The sequence below is a fragment of the Homo sapiens genome, chromosome 5, assembly GCF_000001405.40.
Source record: "Homo sapiens chromosome 5, GRCh38.p14 Primary Assembly".
NCBI classification, from domain to species: domain Eukaryota; kingdom Metazoa; phylum Chordata; class Mammalia; order Primates; family Hominidae; genus Homo; species Homo sapiens.
The window spans coordinates 13,700,061-13,727,721 of record NC_000005.10 but is presented as its reverse complement, the minus strand read 5'-3'; the positions used below and the strand labels follow the sequence as shown (position 1 = coordinate 13,727,721).

The following is a 27,661-nucleotide window of genomic DNA, read 5'->3' as shown; positions in this document are numbered from 1 at the left end:
CTATGACCTGTTACTGAAAGATTGTTGGGTGGCATGACACAGTTTTTATCCCATGGTATTTTCAGATATCGAGAAATGAGAAAATGTGGAAAATTTGGTTTGATAAGGAAAACCCGGAGGAGGAACCTCTTCCAAATGCCTATGATAAATCTCTTGACTGCTTCAGACGTCTTCTCCTTATTAGATCCTGGTGTCCTGACAGAACCATCGCCCAGGTAAAAAGTCCATATTAAAGAGAAAAATGAGAGAATATTTTTAAAGAGAATTTTCTTTTAAATTAAAAAAAATATTTTAAATGTGAATTCCAGTGAGAATTTTCTTGTAGGCCTCTGTGTGATTTTCTAGCAATATGTGTGAAAAATGGAAAAGTAAACAAATAGATGTCTTGAGGCATATGTTTGGGCTAAGTGATTTAGTAACTTTTTCTGACCTATGGCTACAATAGGAGTAAATGAGAAAACCATGATTCTAAGGTTGGCATATAGGTATAACATACAGGTAATGCGTTATTCTTTTATATCATTTTATATTCAATCAAAGATTATATGGCTGCTCCATTTTGCTGGTAGTAAAACAGTGTTTCTGAAAGCAGGAAGAACATAAAGGCATTAGGGTGAATAGAGTGGGGGAAGGACAGTGTGCCCAAACCGTAGTCATTTCCCCAGAAAAATGTCACAGCTCTAGATGTCAGTAAGGTTGTCTTACAACTGAATTTCACATATGGTTTAAATGTGAATCCTGCCTCCAGATGATTCATCTGTTTAAAGACCTTTAATTTGCTGGCTTAGTATCATGGGACTTTACCCACTAAAAGGACTTGTGTCTTGCCTTTATGATGAAAAGTTTAACGCTGATATTCAGCCCAGGTTGACTCCTTAAGGGCTTTTCCAAATGAGCTGTGGAGTAGCAATAGCCTTGGGTTTATAATAGAATGTAAGATATTTTCTCCTTCATTCTCCAGAGGGAGTGTTAAAAACTTATGGAGTAACTACCTCCAAGTCCACTTAGGTACTGTGGAATCATGAAAACAACCAGATTCAATGATTTATTGAGAAAAGAAAAATGAGTTTCACAGTTCGGGGCACTGAGATCACCTTTCCTTTCAGTTTTTCTTCTCAGTTTCATTACTTTTATCCTGCCCAACTGAATTGTGAAATGGTTGCCTTATTTAAGGACAGTGTGGAAAGAAATGTTTGAGTAGTCTCTTTCTTATCTTTTTCCATAGAAAGCTATATTTGCTTCAATGCTGAAATTTAAGTAACTCTTTTTTGTAACTTTATCTTCATCCGATCCCTTTAGCTTCTCCGATCCCTGGACTTACCACAGCCATGGCCTCATACCTGTTCTCCTTACATTTCTTCTTGTATACTCTAGTCTACTCTGCACACACTAGAAGAAATGCAAATATGGTGCCATTCATTGGCTTTTCAAGTCCTGCAGTATCTGCCCATGGCCCTTATAGTGCCCAGGTCCTAAACAAGGTTTAGAAGGCCTGTTGGATAAATGTTCTCTCAAGTTCTTATTCTCCTTTTAGAATCCTTTTGTGATTTTCAACCTGACAACTTTCTGGGAAGCATATTAGTAGGTCTACAATGTAGATACATTCAATCCCATTCCCCATAGGCAGCATCAGGCTATATGCATTTCTTATTCTCTGCATTTTGGCTGAGTGTGACTGTCCACATCTGTGCATGCCTGATTGCAAAAATGCTGCACTGTCCGAGTGTGTCTCCTGAGAGGTACACATTTGTGTCTTAAAAATCCTCAACAGGTCAGGCGCGGTGGCTCACACCTGTAATCCCAGCACTTTGGGAGGCTGAGGCAGGTGGATCACGAGGTCAGGGGTTCAAGACCAGTCTGGCCAACATGGTGAAACCGCATTTCTGCTAAAAATGCAAAAATTAGCCAGGCATGGTGGTGGCACCTGTAATGCCAGCTACTTGGGAGGCTGAGGCAGGAGAATCGCTTGAACTTGGAAAGTGGAGCTTGCAGTGAACTGAGATCGTGCCACTGCACCCAGCCTAGGTGCCAGGGTGAGACTCCATCTCAAAAAAAAAATACTCAACAAAGGGAGGTTGGCACAGGTGTGCAGGTTATTTGTTCATTTTCTCCCCCATTGAAAGGCTGAATCTGTTGCATTGGGACCACATATTGGGATGAACAAGTTCTGCAGAGCTGTGTGAAGAGCAGTGTATGAAAATGCAGCACTCCACAGTGGGGTGTTGGCTTTCTTTAAAGGCTGGCAGGCTGTGCAGAAACCTGGCTTGCCACACCTGAATTAACTCTTACATCAGTTATTATGGGTGTCCTCCTGTCCCTAGCCAGTGACTTGCTCTTTGCTCCTTCAGGGTCTCTGCATATGTTTCTTCTGCATAGAATGCACATGCTCTGACCCACTTAGCTGTCCTCTTTGCCTCAGTAAATCCCACTCATCATCCAAGCAACAGCTTAAATGCTTCTTTCACAAGGGAGCCTTCTCTGACATATTCCTGCAAGATTAATCAGTTTCATACTTTCATGTCACCCTGCAAGTCATAAATCCTTCAAACTAGTTATTTTGCTATTACTTGCTCAATGTATGTCTCATCCTGGCATGGAGGTGGGGGGCAAGCTTCATAAGGGCTGGGCCATTTGTCCACTGATCTGTTCCTAAAACCTGTTGCACTGCCTGGGACAGAGGAGAGGGTCATGGACCAAGGTTTATATCTGTTGCATGAGGTGAATTATCTAACATGGTTTGTTAGTTTGTGCGTTGCTATAAATAAATATCTGAGACTGGGTAATTTATAAAGAAAAGAGGTTTAATTGGCTCATGGTTCTGCAGGTTGTACAGGAAGCATGGGGCTGGCATCTGCTCAGCTTCTGGTGAGGCTTCAGGAAACTTTCAATCATGGCAGAAGGTGAAGGAGGAGCTGGCATGTCATATGGCGAGAGCCAGAGCAAGAGAGTGGGGGAGATGCTGCATACTTTTAAACAACCAGATCTGGGAAGAACTCACTCACTCTCATGAGTACAGCACCAAGCCATTCATGAGGGACTCACCTCTATGACCCAAACACCTCCCACCAGGCCCCACTTTCATCACTGGGGATTACATTTCAACATGAGATTTGAAGGGGGCAAACATTCAAACTATATTATTCCTCCCATGGCCCCTCAAATCCCATGTCCTTCTTACATTGCAAAATACAATCATCTCTTCCTAACTGTCCCCTAAAGTCTTAACTTGTTACAGCATCAAGTCCAAAGTCCTAAGTCTCTCTGAGACTCATCTCCTCCCACCTGTGAGCCTGTAAAATCAAAACACATTATTTACTCCCAAGATACAATGGTAGTAAGGCATTGGGTAAATATTACCATTCCAGAAGGGAGAAATTGGCCAAAAGAAAGGAATAGTAGGCCCTATGCAAGTCTGAAACACAGCAGGGCAGTCCTTAAATCTTGAATCTCCAAAATAATTTCCTTTGACCCCGTGTCCTGCATCCAAGGCACACTGGTGCAAGGGATGGGCTCCCAAAACTTTGAGAAGATGGGGAGACCGAGTAATGCCTGGAATTATTGTCCTGCTGGCTGGTGAGATAATGCAGGGTGTTGGGTTGAAGTTGGAGAAAAGAAGATGAAGAAATGTACTCTTTCTAATGCATGCATATCTGGTTTCAGATCCATGCCTACCGCAGTGGGGCCTTCCCTGGGATTGCTGAGCATCCTTGCATATTACACATTTGCCCCACAGACTCATTACAACCCTTAGGCTTGGAGCCAATTTGAACCATGACTGTGACCCTATTTAAGAATGTCCCCGCCCAGGAACTGGAATTATGACCAAAGGTCCCTTCTCCAGATATAAGTGAAGCAGCCTTCCCTGTGGTTATCTATTCCAGAGGTTGGCAAACTAGGGCCTGCCAACAACATTTGGCCAACTGTCTGTTTATGCTCAGCTGGTGACTTAAGAATTATATTTTTAAATGCCTGAAAAAAATCACCAGAAGACTAATATTTTGTGATAAGTGAAGATTGTATAACTTTCACATTTCAGTGTCTCTAACAATTTATTGGAACATAGCCATGCTTTTTATTTGTGTGCCTATGACTGCTTTTGTGCAACAATGGCGGAGTTGAATAGTTGCAATAGAGATGATTTGGCCACCAAAGTCTAAAATATTTACCATCTGGCCCCATAGTATTCTAACATGTTAGCTCATGGCTTGGATGGTAATACCTGAACTGGGTCAATGCTGAGTTATATGGCAGAACTGGCCATGTTGAGCCCCTTGCTATCTTGGGGTAGAAAGTACTTGAATCTTGATGAGTTGCACTATAGAGATGCAGTGATGGCGGAACATGTGGCTGAGAAACAGCTGCAACTGTGGAATGCCTCAGTGTCCAGCCTTTGAAGTCCTTCCTGATCACAGGACTCCCTGCTTCAGTGACTGTGACTGAATGTGTACATGGAGTAGACATTTGGGGAAGTCAAAGAACATATCAGGCAAACTTATTAAACACCTGCCAGAGGCTGTAGAAAAATATGTAGGCTTTTATATGCAAGTTAGAGATTTAGATATTGGATCTGTCCAACCTAGAAAAAGTATTGAGAGGTATGAAAATAAATAGCATCCTGTGCCTCAAATTCAACTGGACTGAAATTCACCTCCTCAAAACTTCCCAGGCACTGAACTAATAGAGAGGAAGGTCAGAAGGGGTGAGCCTCTCTGTGAGTGAGGGGCCAAGGTGCTGTTTGGTCATTTCATTGCCAGTGGCCTAGTCCTGTCAAAGAGGGCCTGACCACCATTTCTTGTTCCTTTGGGAAACCAGGTAGAGGTCTTTCCCCAAAGCCATCTAGAAATAGTTGCCAAGGCAGAAATCCTGTGTATTCTACAAAGTTGGCATGCCTCTTAATCTGCCATTGGTATGGGGGAATGGACATTATGAGGAGGATTATGACTTTAGAAGAAGGAGAAGAGATCCACAGTAAAATGGTCCAGCTGTTTCTGAATTAGCTGGTATGAGTTAGGGAATGTAAATGCTCCTCTTTTTGTGTTTTGCACTCTCATGAGGAAGATGGACGTTCCCTGATGACCAATTTTCAGACACTCTTTACCTGGCTATATGAATGATGAAGCTTGTTTGAGAAGTCTCCACACACCAGGTGGAATCAGAAAGTAGGACCAAGCCAGTCGTTCAACAGTCTAGACTCATGTGGCACCCATTGTACCTCTCTTACCAAGCTATGAGAGGACGTAGTAAGCCAGGAGATTCCTCTGTGGTGGCCACTTCTCTCTCATTGTAACCCACAAAAGAGGGCAAACACAAGTGGGAAACATCGCACCAATTTGTAAGCTCAGATGCTTGGGGTACATTTTGAGGATGAATAGGGGATAGCAAGATATCGAAGATGAGGGATGAGCCCAGATTACTGGCTGTAAATCAAACTCTGATGTTTTAAAGTCAAGGATAATGACTGAACCAGCTCTGGCTCCCCTTTGATCCGGGTCTATCTGAAATCTGTCTGATTCAAGGGAAGCTCCATCTGAAGCTGTTTTGTGTTTCTCCGGGAATTGGAGTGGGGAGGCTCACCTGCCTAGCCCTTGGGAGAGTTGCAGGTCATGTTGCACCCACGCCTAAGTTATGTGAAAATGATTATTGTGGAGAATGCTGCTGGGGAGAGAAACTTGGGTTTTACCCATCTAAGGTGGAAGAAGACCACCAGAATAGGAGGAAAAATGTTTTTGAGGGAATTTAATTATTTAGAAGGTGGAGAATATAGACTAAGGATCATATTCACAATACCATTTGTTGAAAAATAAATTATAACTCTTTTACCTCATTTGAAAAAGGACTTTGTTGTTACCATAATTTTTTTCTATGGTTGTAATAAAGTTGACAAAATCTGTGATATTTCGAGTATGGATTTCATTCAAAACAAAATTAACAGTAAAGGGATGAGCCAAATGTGGGAAGGAATGACGACAATGATGAGGAGAGAGATTATGGATTAAATCTTTAAAAACTAATTCATTCATTCAACAAATATCCAATATATTTCATAAAAATAGTCACTCAATAATTATCTATTTAATCAGTACCCATTACATTCTAGGTATTGTGTTGCTTACTTGATTATTTAAATGCAAATATATTTGCCTTAGAGCATCCTAAACAATAGTTTCCCAGTATTTTTATTTTCTGGTCTAGCAGGAAGCAAGCAGTATATTGAAATGGGTTTCAAACCAGGAGTCATACAACTTTGGTTCTTTTGACACTCTGATTTTGTACTGGGTAAGCAACACAGTTTTCCCACCTATAGAATGGAGATATAAACAAACAAATATGAAAAACAGTCTCTACCCTGTTTGCCTGACAGGGTTACTGTGGACATCACTGAGATAATTACAAAAATGAATTTTGGAAACCACACTACATTATCTACATGAAAGAGTTGGAATGACTTTTACTGACTTGTATACTGTTTTTGGCAGGCCCGCAAGTACATCGTGGACTCCATGGGAGAAAAATATGCCGAAGGTGTTATTTTAGACTTGGAGAAGACGTGGGAGGAATCTGATCCACGGACGCCACTCATCTGTCTCCTGTCTATGGGCTCAGACCCCACAGATTCCATCATTGCCTTGGGGAAGAGATTAAAAATAGAAACCCGTTATGTGTCCATGGGCCAGGGCCAGGAAGTCCATGCTCGGAAGCTCTTGCAGCAGACCATGGCGAACGTAAGGCTGAATAGTCTACTTTTGTGCCATGCTGTTCATATTACAGGTTATAGAATAGCAATGCAGAAGAAAAATATAAATCATTAGGAGTTTAAATTTACATGCTGCCTGCTGTTTACTAAACAGCGTTTTTTTTTTAAATTTAAGCTAACATTGAAACTTTTGAGGCAATGTGGCAAATAAATCAACTACCCAAGGATAGCAAAGTGGATGGTCTACTCAGTTAGATGAAAACAAAACATTTAATGCAGAGAATGGAATCCCAAAGAAATGGGATTCTGTGGGTGAAGATGGAATATCAGAGTTCTCACCTAAGAAGTTTAGATCACCTGGGTGCAATGCCTCACAACTGTAATCTCAGCACTTTGGGAGGCCGAGGCTAAGGATTGCTTGAGCTCAGGAGTTCAAGACCAGCTTGGGCAACATAGACCCCATCTTTACAAAAAAAAATTAACTGGACGTGGTGGCCTGTGCCTGTGGGCCCATCTACTTTGGAGTCTGAGGTGGGAGGATCACTTGATCTGGGAAGGTAGAGGCTGCAGTCACTGCAGTCCAGCCTGGGTGACAGAACAAGACACTTTCTCAAAAACCAAAACAAAGCAAAATACAAAAGAAGGAAACTCAGGTCAGGGTTCACTTCTATGCTGGGTAAAAGAGAAGAACTGAAGTCTTTTTGTAGTTGCTGTGTTTTATATTGAATTTCCTTTTTGTTTTGAATTGTGGACGGTGTCAGTTGAAATTTTCAAACGGTAATGTTTAGATAACTTATTCAGCAGTACTGTAAATTTCTGAAGAAAATATAAGGAAAATGTGAAATCTCTAAATTATCAGTTTTACGTGTAACTCTGCTAAGACTTTAGATCTAGTGCTTGTTTTTTTTTTTTTTTTGGTGTTTTTTCTTTTTGAAAGACAACTCATGCAGCTCTAGTCAGTGATCTAAGATGGGTTATAGAAAAACACCTCAAGATTATGATCTGGATCTTGTAGATGATTTTAGCAAAAATATTTTATAGATTAGATATTGAGGAAATTATTGTTACATGACCCCCAATTTTGCCTGAGTTGCATTACACGAAGACCTTCCTATCCTTATGGTATAATTCAGGCAAAATATATGGCTTATTATTTTCTAAGGCTCTTTCTCTTCTTAGTGTGGTCAGATTCCCAGGGAAGGTTCTTCCACATGCTAAAGGGTGTATGCTCAGTTGCCAGGATTCTGAGAACTAGTGGGAGGCAGGAAGTAGCAGGTCTCAAAATTCAGCAGGCAATCATTCTTTCACCTGGTTTCAGTGTGGTACCTATTCCCTCAATGTGCTGGTATCCTCCAATCTAGACCCTGTTTTGCCTTCTGTAGAAAATCAACTTCTCATTTTTCATTAAGGCAGGCAGAATTTGGGGAGTTATGTGGTATAAATCAGGTTGCATCTCAGATTTCCCTAAATGCTAGCTTAGGATTCAACTTTCCTGAACCTCTTTTAAATGTTAATGATAATGCCTTCACTCTCTCTGTCATTGTCCTTAAGAGTTCATGCCTTTAAAAATTTTCTTCATTGTAGTTTTAATGGAATTTGGGGAGGGATCTGAGTTAAATGGATGTTTTCAATCAGCCATCTTTACTTGGAAGTCCTTTTATGTTTAACTTTGATTATATTCATGATTGCGACCATATAGTATTGGTACAATTGCATACTAGTGTATACTGGAACAAATGCATGGACTAAAAATAAAATAGCTTATCGCAATTAAACATTTTTGTTTTCTTAGATTTGACCTGGATTAATTTAAAATGGTTAGTGTTTTCCTATTAAATTTTAATTACTTAATTTCTAAAGAATGTAATAATTTAGAATTTGGGTGAAATACAAAACTACCTAATTTCCGTTTACTGCTATTGACAGGGAGGATGGGCACTTCTGCAGAACTGCCATCTGGGACTTGATTTCATGGATGAGCTGATGGACATAATCATAGAAACTGAGCTTGTACATGATGCGTTCCGCCTCTGGATGACCACCGAGGCTCATAAGCAGTTTCCCATTACACTCCTTCAGATGTCCATTAAATTTGCCAACGATCCTCCACAAGGACTCCGGGCAGGACTGAAAAGAACATATAGTGGTGAGTCCAGAAATACTTGCGAGTCTACAGGAGTTTCCTTACTTAAATTGTTTTCCTAAAAAAATTATAAAAGGATTAGCTAGGATACAGTTATAGCAAATAGTACTACTGTTTAACCTGATGGGGAGGTGATGGTCCTCTTTTGTGAATATGTCCCGGCAGTGTGAAAGAATCAGAGCTCATGATTCCCACCTTCTAGTTTCCTATTTTCCCAGTACTGCCCTATTTAAGCCCATGCTGTTCTCCAGCTAGACATAATTAATATCAAAAATGAACAATTTTGTCATTTATGGTCTTTATGCTCCATACTTAAAGTAGTACAGTAGTCTCTTCCAAGAGGAGAGTCTGAATTAAAGTCATGCCTGCCTGCCTTTCATTAGGGCCATATGTCAGAAGGTAGCTAAGTTAAAAATCCAGTGGCAGCAAACTCAGGCCCAAATGCCCCCATCATGACTGGGGCTGAGGTCGCTCTCTTGGCCATTGCTTCCTCTGCTTCATAGCTTTATGTATGGGGCTTGTGGTCATGAAAAGAACATGGAACTTTCAGTCAGAAATCCTGATTCTGGCCCTTGCTGTTGACAATTACTTTGTTCTTTTGGGTGTGAGTCATTCAATCTGAGTTTCAATTTTCTCATATATAAAATAGGGACAAGAGAATCTCTCTAGGAGAATTGAAATAAATTGTAACTAAAATCATGTATTTGATAACCATAATAAATATAATTATTGTATTTCAATCTGGAAAACCTGCAAAGAGACTTTTGGGGAGTTGCTAACAAGGCCCAAATTCCTGCCAATCTATAAGATAATGTGGGGATAAAAGAGAGGTGGAAGGATAATGGCAGTAAAAAATAAATAAATAAATCTAATTATATATACAATATAGTATATGCATATGTATCAATCATTATTATTTGGAGCATGTACTCAGGTGCAAAGGGCTTCTATATATACTATCTTAATTAATATAAAATTAGTTAAAAGTATATGCCCCAAGTATATGCTCAAAACAACAGTAATAATAATAGAGTAGTAGTTATAGTAATAGTGGCAGAATTTATTTAACTGTCGTTACCCTTCCAGCTTGATTTTACCCCCACATGATCTTGTTAGATTGGCAGGAAGTTGACCCATGTTAGCAAGCTCCTCCCCTCCCCAAAGTCTCTTTGAAGATTTTTCAGAGAGAAATGGCCTCTGGACACCCAAAAGTTAAATTATTATTGTCACATGAGTGTCATAAAAACAATCCAAAGTAAGTGAATTTTAATATCAGGGATTTACAAAAATGATTACTTATAAAAGTAGTAGAAAATAAAGACATTTGAGAGATGATACATTTTTCACCCAACTGACCACAACAGGTGTCAGCCAAGACCTGCTGGACGTGAGCTCTGGGTCCCAGTGGAAGCCCATGCTGTACGCAGTGGCTTTCCTGCACTCCACTGTCCAGGAGAGGCGCAAGTTCGGTGCCCTGGGGTGGAATATCCCCTACGAATTTAACCAAGCGGACTTTAATGCCACTGTGCAGTTCATCCAAAACCACTTGGATGACATGGATGTCAAAAAGGTACTGCCGCGCATGCTGCCTCATGCCTCTAGTGGCTGTGGGCTTGGGCCATCAAGCTCACGGGACCTCCTAGCTTTGGCGTAAATTATATAAGAGAATTTGCTGTGCTTGCAAAGTCATCTTTAAGTCATAGCAATTTGGGTCACACTTGCCTCTTGATTTCAGGAAAAATTGATCAAATTTTGATTATTATTTTATTTCTCAAAAGTGAGTTGACATTCCAAAGAAGACAGCCTCAAGGGGCCTGTTCTCAGGGGGTGTGGGTGGGGAAGCTTGTTCTTCAAAATCCTGGAAAATGAAAATGGGAGTCCAGATCAGTTGGAAGTGTGTGCTTTCTAAAGAACTGCCTCAATACCCTCAAAAAGCAAACACTATTTTCTATTTATATTGAAGTATGAAAACATACGAATGCATCAAGGAAGTCTATTTCAAATCATGGACCTGAGCACTGAGTAACTACTCTTCTTTACCTTTTTACTTTTCTTTCTGCACTTTCTCTTTGCAGTACTGATGAAGAGTGACTGACTGAATGATGTTGAAAGTGAATACATGGGTGTGACTTGGCAGGGAAATAATAATGCAACGGTAGTCAGTTCTACATAATTATTCTATAAAATTTCCCAGGGTGTCTCCTGGACCACCATCCGCTACATGATAGGAGAGATTCAATATGGAGGCAGAGTCACTGACGACTATGATAAGAGATTGTTGAACACATTTGCTAAGGTTTGGTTCAGTGAAAATATGTTTGGACCAGATTTCAGTTTTTACCAAGGATACAATATTCCAAAATGCAGCACAGTGGATAACTATCTTCAGTATATCCAGGTTTGTCAACTTCAGAATTTTATGCATAGAGCAAATATCTGTAGCCACTTGAGTTTTGGGTATTAATTACACTGTCTATATTGCTTTTACAATACATTTTAATGGTGATATATACTAATGCTTTTGCTGTGAAGGCTTTCTTCATATTTTTATACTCAATGGATGATTAAAATGTTTATATTTGTTCTGAGTGTGTGTTTTGTGTGAATCGTGTTTCCATCCCCCCTCTTTTTTAATGCCCCAGGGAGGAATTTTCTTTGAGGAAGATGATAGATTAGGCAGATTTAGAACTAGGAGACCTACACAAATCACCTGGAGTTCTCTGTCTGTGAAACTTCGGCTGCCACAGCAGTAGAGCAAAGGCAGCTTCTAGACCCAATTTGTTCTGTTTTCCAATCCATTTGACAAATCCCATGACATCTGTTCCTTAACCCTGGCCTAATGGACAGCCTATGGATATGTCCAGGAAGCTGCTTTGTGTAAGAACCTCCTCTAGGACAGGGTTTCTCAACCTTGGCACTATTGACATTCAGGGTTGGATCACTCTGTGTTGTAGGGGGCTGGCCTGTGCTGTTGAGCAGCATCCCAGGCCTCTATCCACGGGATGCCAATAACAACCCCATACCCAATTGTAAGAACCAAAAATGTCTCCTGAAATTGCCAAATGTCCTCTGGGGGGCAAAATTGTCGCTTGTTGAGAAGCACTGACATAAGAAGGAATAGGTAGATTTCTACAGGCAGTTTGGGAATAGGTGGGGAAAAAATTCTGATTTTCAAGGTGACTGCGTCTCCTTTCTCTATACCTAAAATTCATTATATCATTATTTAGCAGTCTCTTTGGTCTCTATCGAAGATTTATCTCAGAGTAAACAAACTAAAACATAACAGCCCCAGAGGGCTAAATTTATCAGTATATTTACATGTTGCTTTGATATACAAATGTAATGAGTTTATCATATATTACCGCCTCTGCACTTTTATTAATTCAAATCAGCAAATATATTTGTTTTACTGTACTGCATGTATCTTTAAATCATCAGCACTGAATAAGAAAAGTGGCCATGAAGGTATAAATTTGGGGGTGCCTGTACATATATTTTTATATATACCCCATCTCACAGTTTATTTGAGGTAGCTCATAAGAAGATATTATGCAAGAGGGAATAAAATGAGGGAGAAGAAGGGAGGGAAATACGAGTATGACTCAAATAATTAAGTTAAGGATAAGATTCATACATAGAAATATGTGTCAAATTGTCCGTAAATTTTCTTTTTTTTCAAACCGTTGGGGGATCTTTTTGCCTGCTTCTCCTGCTTCTGCCTGTGTCCCACACCATCTCTGTCTCTGTTTTTCTCTCTGACTCTGTTGCTTTCTCAGTTTCTCTCTTTTCCTAGTCTCTGTATTTTTCCCTGGGTGGGTATGACTCCCACGTGCTGCCTTTATTTGGACCACGATTACTAAAGCTGTCATTTCCTGGTATCTTCTAAACATAATAACCATTAGTTATACAACATTGATTTGGACAACTGGTTTGAAGTCTATTAGACTGTCATAAAGCAAAACACCAATCCACAGCTCCCTTTCTATCTCACATATTTTATAACAAGACAGTCTCTCTTGATTAAATTTTGTTTGAGGTGCAGACTGTAAAGAGCCATGAGCCTACTGTCTGTTTCTCAATGTTAATTGTTTTTTTAAAGGAAATTTGATTCTTTTCTGGAGAAATTATTGAGTTTGTAGCTTGACACCAATAAGACTTAAGTAAATGCATACCCTCATAGAAGCATTTTTGTTTCCTAAAATAGTGTAATTTAGACGGTGCTTATGTTGGCAGTCTGTGCTTATCTGGGGTGTCTGTTGTTCAGAGTTTGCCTGCCTATGACAGCCCTGAGGTGTTTGGGCTGCACCCCAATGCTGACATCACCTACCAGAGCAAGCTGGCCAAGGACGTGCTGGACACCATCCTAGGCATCCAACCCAAGGACACCTCTGGTGGAGGGGATGAGACCCGGGAGGCGGTGGTGGCCCGGCTGGCTGATGATATGCTGGAGAAGCTGCCCCCAGACTATGTCCCCTTTGAAGTGAGTTGATGAAATCCTGACAAAATGTCAGCTGGGGTTGCATATCTTCGGTTGGGAGAGTGAGGAAGAAGAAAGGAGGGCAAAAAATGATTTTCCTGAAATTAAAAAACATTCTTTTAAAAACCAGCTTCTTAAAGAACCAGAAAAAGAAGTTTTTGCCTCCATGAATGTAACATAATCTTTTCAATATATAAACCATAAGGAAACCTGTTGAGAATGTTAATACTTATGATTGATTTACAGGTGTGTACTGATGGATTAGGACTGCTTTTCTGAACCTTCCCTGAGGTACTTTACATTGCCATTTGTTCAAAATAAAGCGAAGTATTATTAAAACACCTGATTATTCAAAAATACATTTTATGTAGTTTAATGCACACCTTAAAATTCAGACCTTCTTTATTTCAGAGAGTCTACATTTATATCATTACCTCTGCAGCTTCTTCATCTCATTAGTTTTGAAAATTGATATTTTTAGTATGTAAGTAGTTTCTAAGCAAATTTATGATGATGAAAGTTAATTTTTTGACATCTTTTTAAATTGAATTAATTTTCAAAAGTTTTTTTTCATGAGTTATTGGGGTACAGGTGGTATTTGGTTACATGAGTAAGTTCTTTAGTGGTGATTTGTGAGATATTGGTGAACCCATCACCTAAGCAGTATGCGATGCACCATATTTGTAATCTTTTATTCCTCGCCCCCCTCACACTCTTCCCCCCAAGTCCCCAAAGTCCATTGTATCATTCTTATGCCTTTGCGTCCTCATAGCTTAGCTCCCACATATCAGTGAGAACATATGATTGGCTTTCCATTCCTGAGTTACTTCACTTAGGATAATAGTCTTCAATCTCATCCAGATCGCTCCAAATGCTGTTAATTCATTCCTTTTTATGGCTGAGTAGTATTCCATCATATATATATATATATCGGTGTGTGTATATATATATATATATATATATATATATATATGTCGATGTATATATATATATGTCGGTGTATATATATATGTCAGTGTATATATATATGTCGGTATATATATATGTCAGTATATATATGTCGGTATATATATATGTCGGTATATATATGTCGGTATATATATATGTCGGTATATATATGTTGGTATATATATGTCGGTATATATATGTCGGTATATATATATGTTGGTATATACATATATATGTCGGTATATATATATGTCGGTATATACATATATATGTCCGTATATATATATATATGTCGGTATATATATATGTCGGTATATATATGTCAGTGTGTGTGTATATATATATATATATACACACACACACCACAGTTTCTTTATACATTCGTTAATTGATGGGTTGGTTCCACGATTTTGCAGTTGTGAATTGTGCTGCTGTAAACATGCATGTGCAAGTATCTTTTTTGTAGAATGACTTATTTTCTTCTGGGTAGATACCCAGTAGTGGGATTGCTGGATCAAATGGTAGTTCTACTTTTTAAAGGAATCTTCACACTGTTTTCCATAGTGGCTGTTCTAGTTTACATTCCCACCAGCAGTGTGGAAGTGTTCCTTGATCACTGCATCCATGCCAACATCTACTGTTTTTTGATTTTTCGATTATGGCCATTCTTGCAGGAGTAAGTTGTTGTCGCGTTGTGGTTTTGATTTGCATTTCCCTGATCATTAGTGATGTTGAGCATTTTTTTCATATGCTTGTTGGCTACTTGTATATCTTCTTTTGAGAATTGCCTATTCATATGCTTAGCCCACTTTTGGATGGGATTGTTTGTTTTTTTCTTACTGATTTGTTTGAGTTCGTTGTGATTCTGGATATTAGTTCTTTGTCAGATGTATAGATTGTGAAGATTTTTCTCCCACTCTGTGGGTTGTTTGTTCACTCTGCTGACTGTTCCTTTTGCCATGCAAAGGCTCTTTAGTTTAATTAGGTCCCAACTATATATCTTTGTTGTTATTGCATTTGCTTTTGAGTTCTTGGTCATGAAATCCTTGCCTAAGCTGATGTCTAGAAGGGTTTTTCCAATGTTATTGTCGAGAATTTTTGTAGTTTCAGGTCTTAGATTTAAGTCCTTAATCCATCTTGAGTTGATTTTTGTATAAGGTGAGAGATGAGGGTCCAGTTTTATTCTTATACATGTGGTTAGCCAATTATCCCATCACCATTTTTTGAAAAGGGTGTCCTTTCCCCACTTTAGGTTTTTGTTTGCTTTGTCGAAATCAGTTGGCTGTAAGTATTTGGGTTTATTTCTGGGTTCTCTGTTCTATTCAGTTGGTCTATGTGCCTATTTTTATACCAGTACCATGTTGTATGATGCCTCCTGATTTGTTCTTTGTAGTTAGTCTTGCTTTGGCTAGGCAGGCTCTTTTTTGGTTACATATGAAGTTTAGAATTGTTGTTTCTCATTCTTTGAAGAATGATGGTGGTATTTTGATAGGGATTGCATTGAATTTGTAGATTGCTTTTGGCAGTGTGGTCATTTTGATTCTACCCATCCATGACCATGAAATGTATTTCCATTTGTTTGTGTTGTCTGTGATTTCTTTCAGCATTGTTTTGTAGTTTTCCTTGTAGAGGTCTTTTGACTTCTTGGTTACATATATTCCTAAGTATTTTATTTTTTTGCAGCTATTGTAAAAGGGGTTGCGTTCTTGATTTGATTCTCCACTTGGTCACTGTTGGTATAGAAGAGCTACTGATTTGTGATTTGTGTACATTAATCTTGTATCTAGAAACTTTGCTGATTTCTTGTATCAGTTCCAAGAGCTTTCTGGAGGAGTCTTTAGGGTTTTCAAGGCAAGCGATCATATCGTCAGCAAGCAGTGACAGTTTGACTTCCTCTTTACTGATTTGGATGCTCTTTATTTATTTCTCTTGACTGATTGCTCTGGCCAGGACTTCCAGTGCTGTATTGAAGAGGAGTGATGAGAGTGGGCATCCTTGTCTTGTTCTGGTTCTCAGAGGGAATGCTTTCAAGTTTTCCCCATTCAATATTATGTTGGTTGTGGGTTTGTCATAGATGGCTTTTATTACATTGAGGTATATCCCTTGTATGCCGATTTTGTTGAGACTTTTAATCATAGAGCGATGCTGGATTTTGTTGAATGCTTTTTCTGCATCTATTGGGATGATCATGTGATTTTTGTTTTTAATTCTGTTTATGTGGTGTATCACATTTATTGACTTGCGTATGTTAAACCATCCCTGCATCCCTGGTATGAAAGCCACTTGATCATGCTGGGTTATCTTTTTGATATGTTGTTGGATTCAGTTAGCTAGTATTTTGTTAAGGATTTTAGCATCTATGTCCATCGAGGATATCAGTCTGTAGTTTTCATTTTTGGGTATGTCCTTTCCTGATTTTGGTATTAGGGTGATGCTGGCTTCATAGAATGAATTAAGGAGGGTTTCTTCTTTCTCTATCTTGTAGAATAGTGTCAAAAGGATTGGTACCAATTCTTCTTTGAATGTCTAGCAGAATTCTGCTGTGAATCCTTCTGGTCTTAGATTTTTTTATGTTGGTAATTTTTAAATTACCATTTCAATCTCACTGCCTGTTATTGGTCTCTTCAGGGTTATCTAATTCTTCCTGATAAAAGCTAGGAGGGCTGTATTTTTCCAGGAATTTACCTATCTCTTCTAGGTGTTCTGGTTTATGTGTGTAAAGGTGTTCATAATAGCCTTGAATGACCTTTTGTATTTCAGTGGTGTCAGTTGTAATATCGCCTGTTTTGTTTCTCAGTGAGGTTATTTGGATTTTCTCTCTTCTTTTCTTGGTGAATCTTGCTAATGGTCTATCTATTTTATTTATCTTTTCAAAGAACCAGCTTTTTGTTTCTTTTCAAAGAACCAGCTTTTTGTTTCATTTACCTTTTGTATTGCTTTGTTTTGTTTCAATTTCATTTAGTTCTGCTCTGATCTTGGTTATTTCCTTTCTTCTGCTGGGTTTGAGTTTGGTTTCTTCTTGTTTCTCTAGTTCCTTGAGGTGTGACATTAGAATGTCAATTTTTGTCATATTACCAGAGTTGGTTTTCTGGTTCCTTCTCATTTGAGTAGGCTCTGTCAGAGAGAAGGTCTTAGGCTGAAGGCTGTTGTTCAGATTCTTTTGTCCCACAGGGTGTTCCCTTGATGTAGTAGTCTCCCCCTTTTCCTATGGATGTGGCTTCCTGTGAGCCGAGCTGCAGTGATTGTTGTCTCTCTTCTGGGTCTAGCCACCCAGCAAGTCTACCTGGCTCTGGGCTGGTACTGGGGGTTTTCTGCACAGTCTTGTGATGTGAACCTTGTCTGTGGGTCTCGCAGCTGCAGATAGCAGCATTTGTTCTGGCGGAGTTGGCGGTGGGGTGCAATGGACTCCGTGAGGGTTCTTAGCTTTGGTGGTTTAATGCTCTGTTTTTGTGCTGGTTGACCTCCTGTCAGGAGGTGGTGCTTTCCAGAGAGCATCAGCTGTGGTAGTATGAAGAGAAACCGGCAATAGGCAGGGCCCTAGAACTCCCAAGATTATATGCCGTTTGTCTTCCACTACCAGGGTGGGTAGGGAAGGACCACCAAGTAGGGGCAAGGCTAGGTGTGTCTGATCTCAGCCTCTCCTTAGGCTTGTCTTGCTGTGGCTACTTCAGTTTCTTCAGTGGGGGTGTGTGTTCAGGAGAGGAGGCTCTCCCTTTCCCACTTCTGCAGTTGGGGCACTCACAGTATTTGGGGTGTCTCCTGAGTCCTGCAGGAGCAGACCGCCTCCTTCACAGAGTCTGTGGGTCCTCTAGGGATTGCTGCTTTGTTCTTGGAGTAGATCCGGAGCTAATGTTCACAATGCAAGCCTCTGAACACTGCTCTGCCCATCCGAGTCAAAGCTGCAATCTAGTCTTGCCTCTGTCCCCCAGGTGTTTTCTTTTTTAACATCTTAATGAGTATTGTGGAAAGAGTTACCCTGATAGTATTTTTTTAAATCTTCAATTATCCTTTGAGTTACAAACAATTCAATTACATATGCACTCACAAATTTTTTTTTTTAAATTACAAAATAAAAAATAAAAAAATAAAAATCTTTGATTAAACCAAGACTAAGAGGTAGCTGATTTTCCATATAGTTTTAAGAGATGACCTGGACAATCATTTGGTGCTTCTAACATGAGCCACCCTATTTCTTTGTATTTTTCCCTTTTGTATCTCATTTTCAAGAGGAATCCTGTAGCATTTTGTGTCTTTTGTACCCCACTGTTTTCTACTAAGCAGGCAATTTTGGCTGCTAATACTACAGACTGAACTTAAGGACCTTTAGTCAAGGGGATAATGTCCCTGGAATAACCTCTGATCACTTGCTTGGAGAAAAATCAATACTGTTATCAGCTTTCATAAGCACTCTTCATTATAGGATCAGGAAAGGCGTCATTCGTGTCTAACAGGGGTTGAAATAGTTAGGAAGTGATAAAAATGTCTAAAAATAGAATGATAACTACATAAATAAACATGGTAAGTAGCAGGAGTTAGAAGAGTCTCCAGCCTTTTGCTGAATTTGTCAGTGCTACCTTAGGTTATAGCAACTCAGCCTAACACAATATCTGATACATAGAAGACTCTCAATAAATACTTGTAGGATGATAATGAATGGTTGGGGGGATGGATGGATGCTTTGATGGAAAAAACAGAAAGCTCTTAAAAGAGAATTCTAGTTTTTTGAAATAGCCAGCAGAATGGTTGTGTGTGTGTGTACATGTTTGCTTGTGTGTGTCCACATGTGGGTTTGAAAGAGCTCGGATTCTCAGAAAGGGAGTTTCCCAATAAGTGCATTTGCTGTTTGGAAGACTGCATGGTTGTGGTCATGCATTTTACATTCTTCTGTGAATTCATGGCTGCCTGTTCCTTCCCACATGGCATGAAAATTCGGGCTGGTCATCTAACAGATACTTTTTTCTGTTTTCTTTTCTTTTTTTTTTTCTTTTTGCCATGCAATAAATTAGAAGCTTATTATTTATGGAATAGTAAGAATTTGGGCCTGTTCAGAGGCCCCAGGGCACCAGGTCTATAAAATCCTTAGTAGCTAATTGTTAACATGTGCTTTGAATGTCTCCATGGCAGGTAAAAGAGAGGCTGCAGAAGATGGGGCCATTCCAGCCTATGAACATTTTCCTCAGGCAGGAAATAGACAGAATGCAAAGGGTACTCAGCCTTGTCCGCAGCACCCTCACTGAGCTGAAACTTGCTATTGATGGCACCATCATCATGAGCGAAAATCTGCGAGATGCATTGGATTGCATGTTTGATGCTAGAATCCCTGCTTGGTGGAAAAAAGTACGTATAAGCCTGCTGTTATTCTGCCTGTTCACTTATGATTGTGAAGAGTTGTAATTGGCAAGTGGAAAGCATGAAAGGATAATTTACTCAACATGATTCTTTTGCACAGGGACGAAGCCCCCTGTAGCCCTGTATTTTTAGACCATAGGTAGGGAAGGAAGTTTTTTTTTAGCAAATCCCACGAATCAGGTTCTCTGCTAGGGCATTTACATGCGTTATTTTACTTAAATTTTGTATTTTACTGCTCTTATTTTACAGATGAGAAACTTAAGTTTGGGACAGGTTAAGTCTTTTCTCAGATTACACATCTAAGTAGTCCAAGAATCAGAATTTAAACCCAAGCTCCTGGACTCCAAAGTCCATGATGTTGGTTTCATAGAAGGAAACATGCCTCACCCTAACATCAAAAGTCACACCAAAAGGAAAAAAAAAATAAAGTTTCTGCTACATGCTGTCGAAATCGGAGGAGTTCCCTTATCCCCCTCACAGGGCGTGTGACAGGGGTGTGGCTGGGTTTTCTGTGCCCTGCTGCTGAAATCCCTAGGGGGAGCATGCAGAGGGGCAGGTTGTAGGGACTGTTCTGGGGCTCCAACCCCATGGCAGTGTCTAGGGTTAGTGTTTACAGCTCCCGAATGGGCATGTGTTACAGTGTACTCTTTCAGTTTTGCCATCTGCAGATGGCTCGCGTTAATCAGCTCAATTAGACCCTCTTTATCGCAAGGACAGAGGGCTTTCTGTTTCCTGGGTTCTTGCTCTAGTGTACTGGAAAAATTGCCTCACATGTGGGCTTAGAGGTCGGGTGCAAGGTTTTATTGAGTGGTGGAAGTTGCTCTCAGCAAGGTGGATGGGGAGCCAGAAGGGGGATGGAGTGGGAAGGTGGTCTTCCCCTGGAGTTGGGCCGCCCAGTGACCGGACTCTTCTCTGACCATGCCTGAGCAAATTCCACGTCGTCCCGCTGTCAGCGGTGTCTGTTGGTCCTGCCAGTATATGCTGGTGTCTGTCAGTGTGCCCTTCTGCGCTTCTACTCCTCTCAACATCCAGCCACTTGTGTGTGTGCCCGCTATGGTCCCTTGGGTTTATATGGGCACAGGATGCGGGGCATGGTGGGCCAGAGTGGTCTTGGAAAATGCAACATTTGGGCACGAAAACAAGAGTGCCTGTTCTCACTTAGGTAGGTCTTTGGGCATAAGCCTGAGGGTGGAGCCTTCGCCAGGGACCCTGCCCTTCTCTACCCAGCACTTCCCTGCCCTGCTCTGGTATCACTATATCTGTAAATACAGTATGTAGTATGTATATATCAAAATAAAAGGATAAGAATTTAACAGCATGCTCACTGGTTACTTGTTAGTAATTGTGCTAAAGACAGATACGGTTTTAAGGAATAATTTTTCACTTGGAAAAGTAAAGTGAGTTCCTGAGTGTCTTTGTAAGTAGGAAAATAAGTGTATTTTAGTAGAGGACATTTGAAGGGATGGAGCCTAAATGGTATTCTTCTCTTTGTTCTGTATTTGTGTGTGCATGTGTCTGTGTGTGATGTGCATGCACACCCATGTTATGGGGAGATGTAAGTGAACTTGCTAAGATTAATTATGGTGAAAAAATACGTAGGAAAAGAGTGGGAGGTGTAGCTGTCTTCTATAACCTATTTCTTGGGAAAATCTGGATCTGCCCCATGGCTTCCTTTCCATCTGACTCCTGCCATTGTCTGGGGGACTCCACACCCACAGCATGAACCCAAGCAGGGCTGACCTGACAGATCACTCCCAATGTCCTGCTCCCTAGATTTTCACTTCTGCTCCACTTCCTCATTCACTTGCCCTGCTACACCTAAAGGTTGGAAGGAGGGGGAAATCAAGACAGAAATGCAGGCATGGAAAGGCAACAGGATTCACCCCTTTGAGATCTCAAGTTATGCATGTGAATGAAACCGGCTTTCACTGGTGTGCATCGCCTCCAACTGGCTTCAATTGCCAGGAGTAGGCCTGGGAAGGTAGACACTTGAGGAGCTTCCGTGTTGGACACCCACCTGGAGAGTGCAGTGGCAGGTGTGGTAGGATTTTTTGACTGCCATAACAAAGTACCACCGACTGGGTGGCTTAAGCAACAGAAGTTTGTTTTCTTGCAATTCTGGAGGTGGCAAGTCCAAAATAGAACTGTTGGCCAGCCGTGCTCCCTTCAGAGTGTCTAGAAGAGCATCCTTCTTTGCTTCATTCTACTTTCTGGTGGCCCCAGGAGCTCCTTGGCTTGTGGCAGTCCTAGTCCAGTCTCTCCCTTTGTCTTGTGAAGATATGATTTTCTTTGCCTTGTGTACATTCACATCATCTTCCCTCTATGCACATCTGTCTCTGTGTCCAAATTTCCCTTTTATAAGGACAGCAACATACTGGATTAGGGTCACGCTTATGCCTTCATTTTCACTTGATTTCCTCTGTAAAGACCCTGTTCCCGCATAAGATCACGTTGTTAGGTGCTGGGGGTTAGGACTTCAATGTATGGTTTTGAGGGGACACAATTCAACCCATAGTGGGAGAGGTAGCTAGGTCATGGAAGCCATTCTCAACAGGGAGATTATAATGATGGAAGGTGAAGACGAGAGGAGAGGAGATGGGACAAAAACTGTTAAAGACTTATTTTAAAATTTATTTTACTTGACAAAAATTATATATATTTATGGTGTGCTACATGTTGTTTTGAAAGATATGTATGCTGTAGAATGGCTAAGCTGGGCTAATTAACATAGGCATTACCTCACATACTTAATTAACATTTTCTTGTGGTTCAGGCCTAAAAGCCACTCTCAGCAATTTTCAAGAATACAGTCCATTGCAGCCGGGCGCAGTGGCTCATGCCTGTAATCCAGCACTTTGGGAGGCCAAGGCAGGCGGATCACAAGGTCAGGAGATCAAGACCATCCTGGCTAGCACGGTGAAACCCCGTCTCTACTAAAAAAACTACAAAAAATTAGCTGGGTGTGGCAGCATGCATCTGTAGTCCCAGCTACTCGGGAGGCTGTGGCAGGAGAATGGCGTGAACCTGGGAGGCGGAACCTGCAGTGAGCCAAGGTCGCACCACTGCCCTCCAGCCTGGGTGACAGAGCGAGACTCCCTCTCAGAAAAAAAAAAAAAATTGTCTATTGGTATAAACTATAGTCACCTTGTTGTAAAATAGATCTTTTGAACATACTTCTCCTATCTAACTGAAATTTTATACCCTTTGATCAACAACTTCCTATTCCCTCCCTCCTCACTCCACCCTCTAGTCTCTGGTAACCACCATTCTACTCTCTATTTCTATGAGTTCAACTCTTTCAGGCTCCACATATAGGTAAGATGATGTAGTGTTTGCCTTTCTGTGCCTGGCTTATTTCACCTAGCATAATGGAGATGGGACAAAATTTATGGATGAGGTGAAAATCATGGAACCAAAGAACCGGATACTATGCTTAGGTCAAAGGACTGTCCTTGAACAAGTGAACTAGAAGTGGAGGTTGTGGTTGAAGAATGGAATGTGGAATGGGGGTGGTGCATGTTGGATTTCTTAAGGCGGCTAAATAACTAGCTCTTTTCTCCGCCTGAATTCCAAAGCAATTAAATGGCAGAAAAGGAGTGGTGCAGATTAGAGAACATTTACTGATAAAGCTGATATTGAACAAAGTGGCTTCCATCTGCTGGAAGGTGAGTTTTGGGGTTTTAAAACGGTATTTGGTATCAGACAGACTTACCCACCAGCAGCACTACACTAGACAGCTTCCTCTACAGAGACTTCCCTGTGAAGCGAGAGTGTGCAGGAGCACAAGAGAGTGTGGGAGCAGAAGAGAGTGTGGGAGCAGAAGAGAGTGTGTGGTCCCTTTCCCCCTGCTACCCCCAGTAATAAAAGCAGAAGGGGCTGGCTGGCTGGGCTTCCTAACTGTATCTCTGTCTTTCCACCGCTGCTGTGGCTTCTCCAACCTGCTGCTGCCCTAGTGCCAAGTCACTGATCATACTTCAGGAGCTGCTGTTATAGCTGCACCCTACTTCCTTATGCCCCTCACCAGCTGGGTGCATCCTTGGGTCCAGACAGTTACTCTGGGACCCTCATTGTGGAGGCCTTGTCATCTGGGAGCTGTACCACCTGGAGCATGTGGCCTCTGAAGTCATCACAGCAGAGGGAAGGGAGATGGACAAGGCACCCCAGGTCTAGACTTTCTGGATTAGGAAGTGACCCATGCCACTTTCATTCACAGTCTGTAGATCAGAACTAGAGCCTTGGACCCAACCTAACTGCATGTGAGGCTGAGAAGTATAGGGGGCACATGGGACATCTGATGAGCAGAATGTGTCTCTGAAACAGCCAGAAACCAGATGAATTTCTTTATCTCCTGGGAGTGGGGAGAATGAGAGGGTCAAGGATCTTGGAATGTTATATGAAAGGAGCTCTCTCCCCATAGAAGGAAATATAGGAGTGGAAAAAAGGCACCTCCCAACAGGCTACTGTTTGAGGATGACAAAATTTAACATGAGAGCATGGGAGCAGAGGAATGAAATGGAATGGACATCAGGGTCATTAGAGAGCAGAGGGTCATGAGATAAGATAATAAGATGTTAAATGCATCATTCACATGGATGCTGAATTCACCTAGAATGATTAATGAAAGTAAATAAAGGTAGTCTATGGGTTTTGAGTATGCACTTACTTGGCCAGAATACCCAGGTTCAAATCATGTCTCTTATGGGCTAACTTGGGGTACACTAGTTGCCTTGTTGTGCCTCAGTTTCCTTATCTGTAAAAGGGAAATAATAGCATTATATAATTCCTAGCATTATTGTGAGGATTAAATGAGTTGATGTGTGTGAAGTGCTTAGAACAGTGCCTGGCATGAGGTCACCTCCTCTTCTCCTGGCCCTGAGGGTTGTTGAGTATGAGGAAAGCAGTAGCCTACATTTGGAGAAGGCTGTGAGGGAAGCAGTCTGTCCTGGGTAGAGGGTGTGGGGTGGGGGGCAGACTTCAGTTAAGAGAAGGGATGGAGAGAATGTTCCAGAATGAGGTGGAGGATCTAGAAGAGTTTTCTGATCATGGCACTAAAGATGCTGAAGGTAGAGTGGAAAGGCTTGGGAGGGAGGCTTGTCCCTTCTTATTGCCAAGGACAGAGGGGGATTGCGTCAGGTTGGGGGCTGCACAGAGAGGGCAGCCTACAGACGTGAGGTTGGTGGGTGGGAGGATAGAGGGTTGGCCTCTGTAGGTTACTTGGCTAAATGGGAAGGTGATAGGACTTGTTTGGTGCTGAGCCTCAGGTATGTCATCCCGGGCTTCAGCAGATTACAAGGCAGTGAGTTCTGCAGGCAGCATATAGTGAGTAGGACTGCTGCTTCTTGTCTTCTCCATGTTATTTGATGACACCACCCTCCATCCCTCTCATCACATAGCTGAGAGACTCAGAATCAGCTTTGACCAGACCCCTTTATTTCCTTCTCATCTTTAATAAATCCATTGTCCATGCCAGAGAGTTTTGTATCTGAATTGCCTCCTCTCATTGCCAAGGACAGAGGGAGATTCTTCCAGATCAGTGGCCATTGGGAGTTCCTTCCCTACCAAACCAGATCACCCACCTCGGTAGGACCCAGGAGGCTCTGGAACAGGAATCCCTGTCAGGGGCACTCTCTCATTAGCGGCTCCCTCTGCCCTCAGACCGAACGTAGTATAAACACACATCTCTTTTAGTTAACAGACCTATAAAGATAGCAGACAATGAGTGATTTAATTCTTAAATTATGATCATTTTATTCAGGTTTTTATTCTTCTCAGCTTATTATCAGACTTTGGAATCTCAATAACTCTTGAAAAATAGGCAAATTAATTCTTAAGGTATTTGAAATTCAAGTGTTATACCCAGGTTGATTACTACATTTATTCATACATAAAATATTGCAATTACAGTAAAATGTTATAATCTATGATTTGAAGATACCTTACACTGCTGCTGCTGATGACATTAATGACATATTCATGCCAGTTGTCATAATGGAAGTTCCACAGGTGAATTCAGGGAGAAAGTCAGAAGCAATAAATGCAAATAGTTTGTGGATGATAAAGAGTCTTGGGTTTCCATTTTTTGCTCCTTCAAGAGAGGAAATAAAAATGTATTCTAAAGGGATAAACATTCTGGAAAATAACTGTTGTTTACCCCGTTAAAATTAAGTGTAGCAAGTCTTCTACAACTTATCCATGGGATCTGTTTTAAAGTGTTGATTTATCTTGATAAGGCCATGAGCATATTTAGGTGAATAAAAATCCTTTTTTATGTGTTATAGATTGAAATTGTAACCTAAGGAAAAATGAGGAAAGCCTTTAAATTTAATCCAATAAATTGTTTTGATTCCTTTACAGCAGAGTCAGTGATGAATATATTGGTACATGGAAAGTGATTCAATTGACGTTAGATATCTTGAACAGCTCTGTGAATTTATCAGATGTTCATGTGATGACTAGTATATTCTATCATATCTTAGTAGCATTACTATTATTAAGGAGAAAGAATAATTTGAAACACTTACGCCAGAATCCAGGGAAAATTCATGACTTAGGGACTTTTTTCATTATAAAAGTGAAATTGATATTTCATCTTTTTTTTTTTTCAGTGAACATAGCTGGTTTACACTGCAGTATTAAACTTACATCAATTAATTGTTTTAATGTCTTCATTGCAGGCTTCTTGGATTTCTAGTACACTGGGTTTCTGGTTTACTGAACTTATAGAAAGAAACAGCCAGTTTACCTCGTGGGTTTTCAATGGCCGACCTCACTGCTTTTGGATGACGGGTTTTTTTAACCCCCAGGGATTTTTAACTGCAATGCGACAGGTAAGAGCTCTGATTTGCACCCGTTGCGTTATTATAATTTTCCTCCACAGGATTTTCCATCATTATAGTTTTAAAGACTATAATAAGACAGAGAATGACTGTCTCTTTTTGGTACTAGCAGTTACATTGTCATGTACATAAATCCCAGCCAGTTGTTCTCAGGCTGCTAGCTCGACTTTCAAAATATTTATTTCTTATTTTTGTATTTGATTTGATTTTCTATTTTTTTTTAAAGTAGACCTAGCTCAATTAGGATGTGGTTTTTTTAATGAGGGAATCTTGCTAATTCTTTAAATACTATTGTACGTCCTTCGAGTTAGAGTGATTCGGAGCCAAGCTTTCATTATTGTTATGCTCTTTCTATTAAGACAAACCTCTAACCGCTCCATTCATCTTTTGCTGCCCTGAATAGGAAATAACTCGGGCCAACAAAGGCTGGGCTCTGGACAATATGGTGCTTTGCAATGAAGTCACCAAATGGATGAAGGACGACATTTCTGCCCCTCCCACAGAGGGTGTCTATGTCTATGGCTTATATCTTGAAGGTGCTGGCTGGGACAAGAGGAACATGAAACTCATTGAATCAAAGCCAAAAGTGCTCTTTGAGTTGATGCCTGTCATAAGGATTTATGCAGAAAACAATAGTAAGTTGTCTTGTACCTTCAGTAAGGGCTCGCATTGTTCGTTTGGATGACATTATCAACACAGGATTTCATTATTTTTGTTATCATGTAGTAGAGATTTTGCTCTCTTATCTATTAGCTTTACATTCACACCCATGTTTAATGGGGACTTACTGACTTCTAGGCACTTTCTTGAGTATATTGAGGAGGCAATAGTTCTAGATAGTACTTGCTTATCTAATAAAGCAGATTAACATGTGTGGATACTCATGAAATATTAGCTGATGAGATAAGAAAGAAATGTTTGGCATAATTAATAGGCATGGGAAAGGAGAGTGAGATAACAGCGGGATGAAGTGAGCAGGGCCTGAGTCTCAGGAGCATTTGGGCCTGGACTGAGCTTTGAAGAATATATACAATGTGGTGGGGTAGGCTGTGGTAAGGAGACTTTCTAGATAAGACTGCACAGGGCTCAGTTGAAGGCTGTGGTTCTACCAGCTTGGAGGTTTGAACCAGGCAGTGAATTCTAGATTGAATTCAGAGGCATTTGGTTTAATCCTGTAGCTAATGGTAAAATACTGGGTTCTTACTTCAGTCTTT

At 40.6% G+C, this 27,661-nt stretch overlaps 1 protein-coding gene across 10 annotated transcripts in view; it reads left to right on the top strand.

Moving 5' to 3' along the window:
- DNAH5 (dynein axonemal heavy chain 5) overlaps nucleotides 1-27,661 on the top strand; it is a 321,491-nt gene that overhangs the window by 284,097 nt on the left and 9,733 nt on the right. For 7 of the 10 annotated variants that reach the window (XM_005248262.4, XM_047416886.1, NM_001369.3 and 4 more), the window contains 9 exons: nucleotides 66-215; nucleotides 6,477-6,722; nucleotides 8,621-8,840; nucleotides 10,202-10,407; nucleotides 11,032-11,235; nucleotides 13,102-13,317; nucleotides 19,387-19,599; nucleotides 26,286-26,438; nucleotides 26,851-27,082. In XM_005248262.4, coding sequence (XP_005248319.2) covers nucleotides 66-215; nucleotides 6,477-6,722; nucleotides 8,621-8,840; nucleotides 10,202-10,407; nucleotides 11,032-11,235; nucleotides 13,102-13,317; nucleotides 19,387-19,599; nucleotides 26,286-26,438; nucleotides 26,851-27,082 — 1,840 coding nt within the window. The other 3 variants (XM_017009177.2, XM_017009180.2, XM_017009181.2) reach the window with 3 other exon arrangements.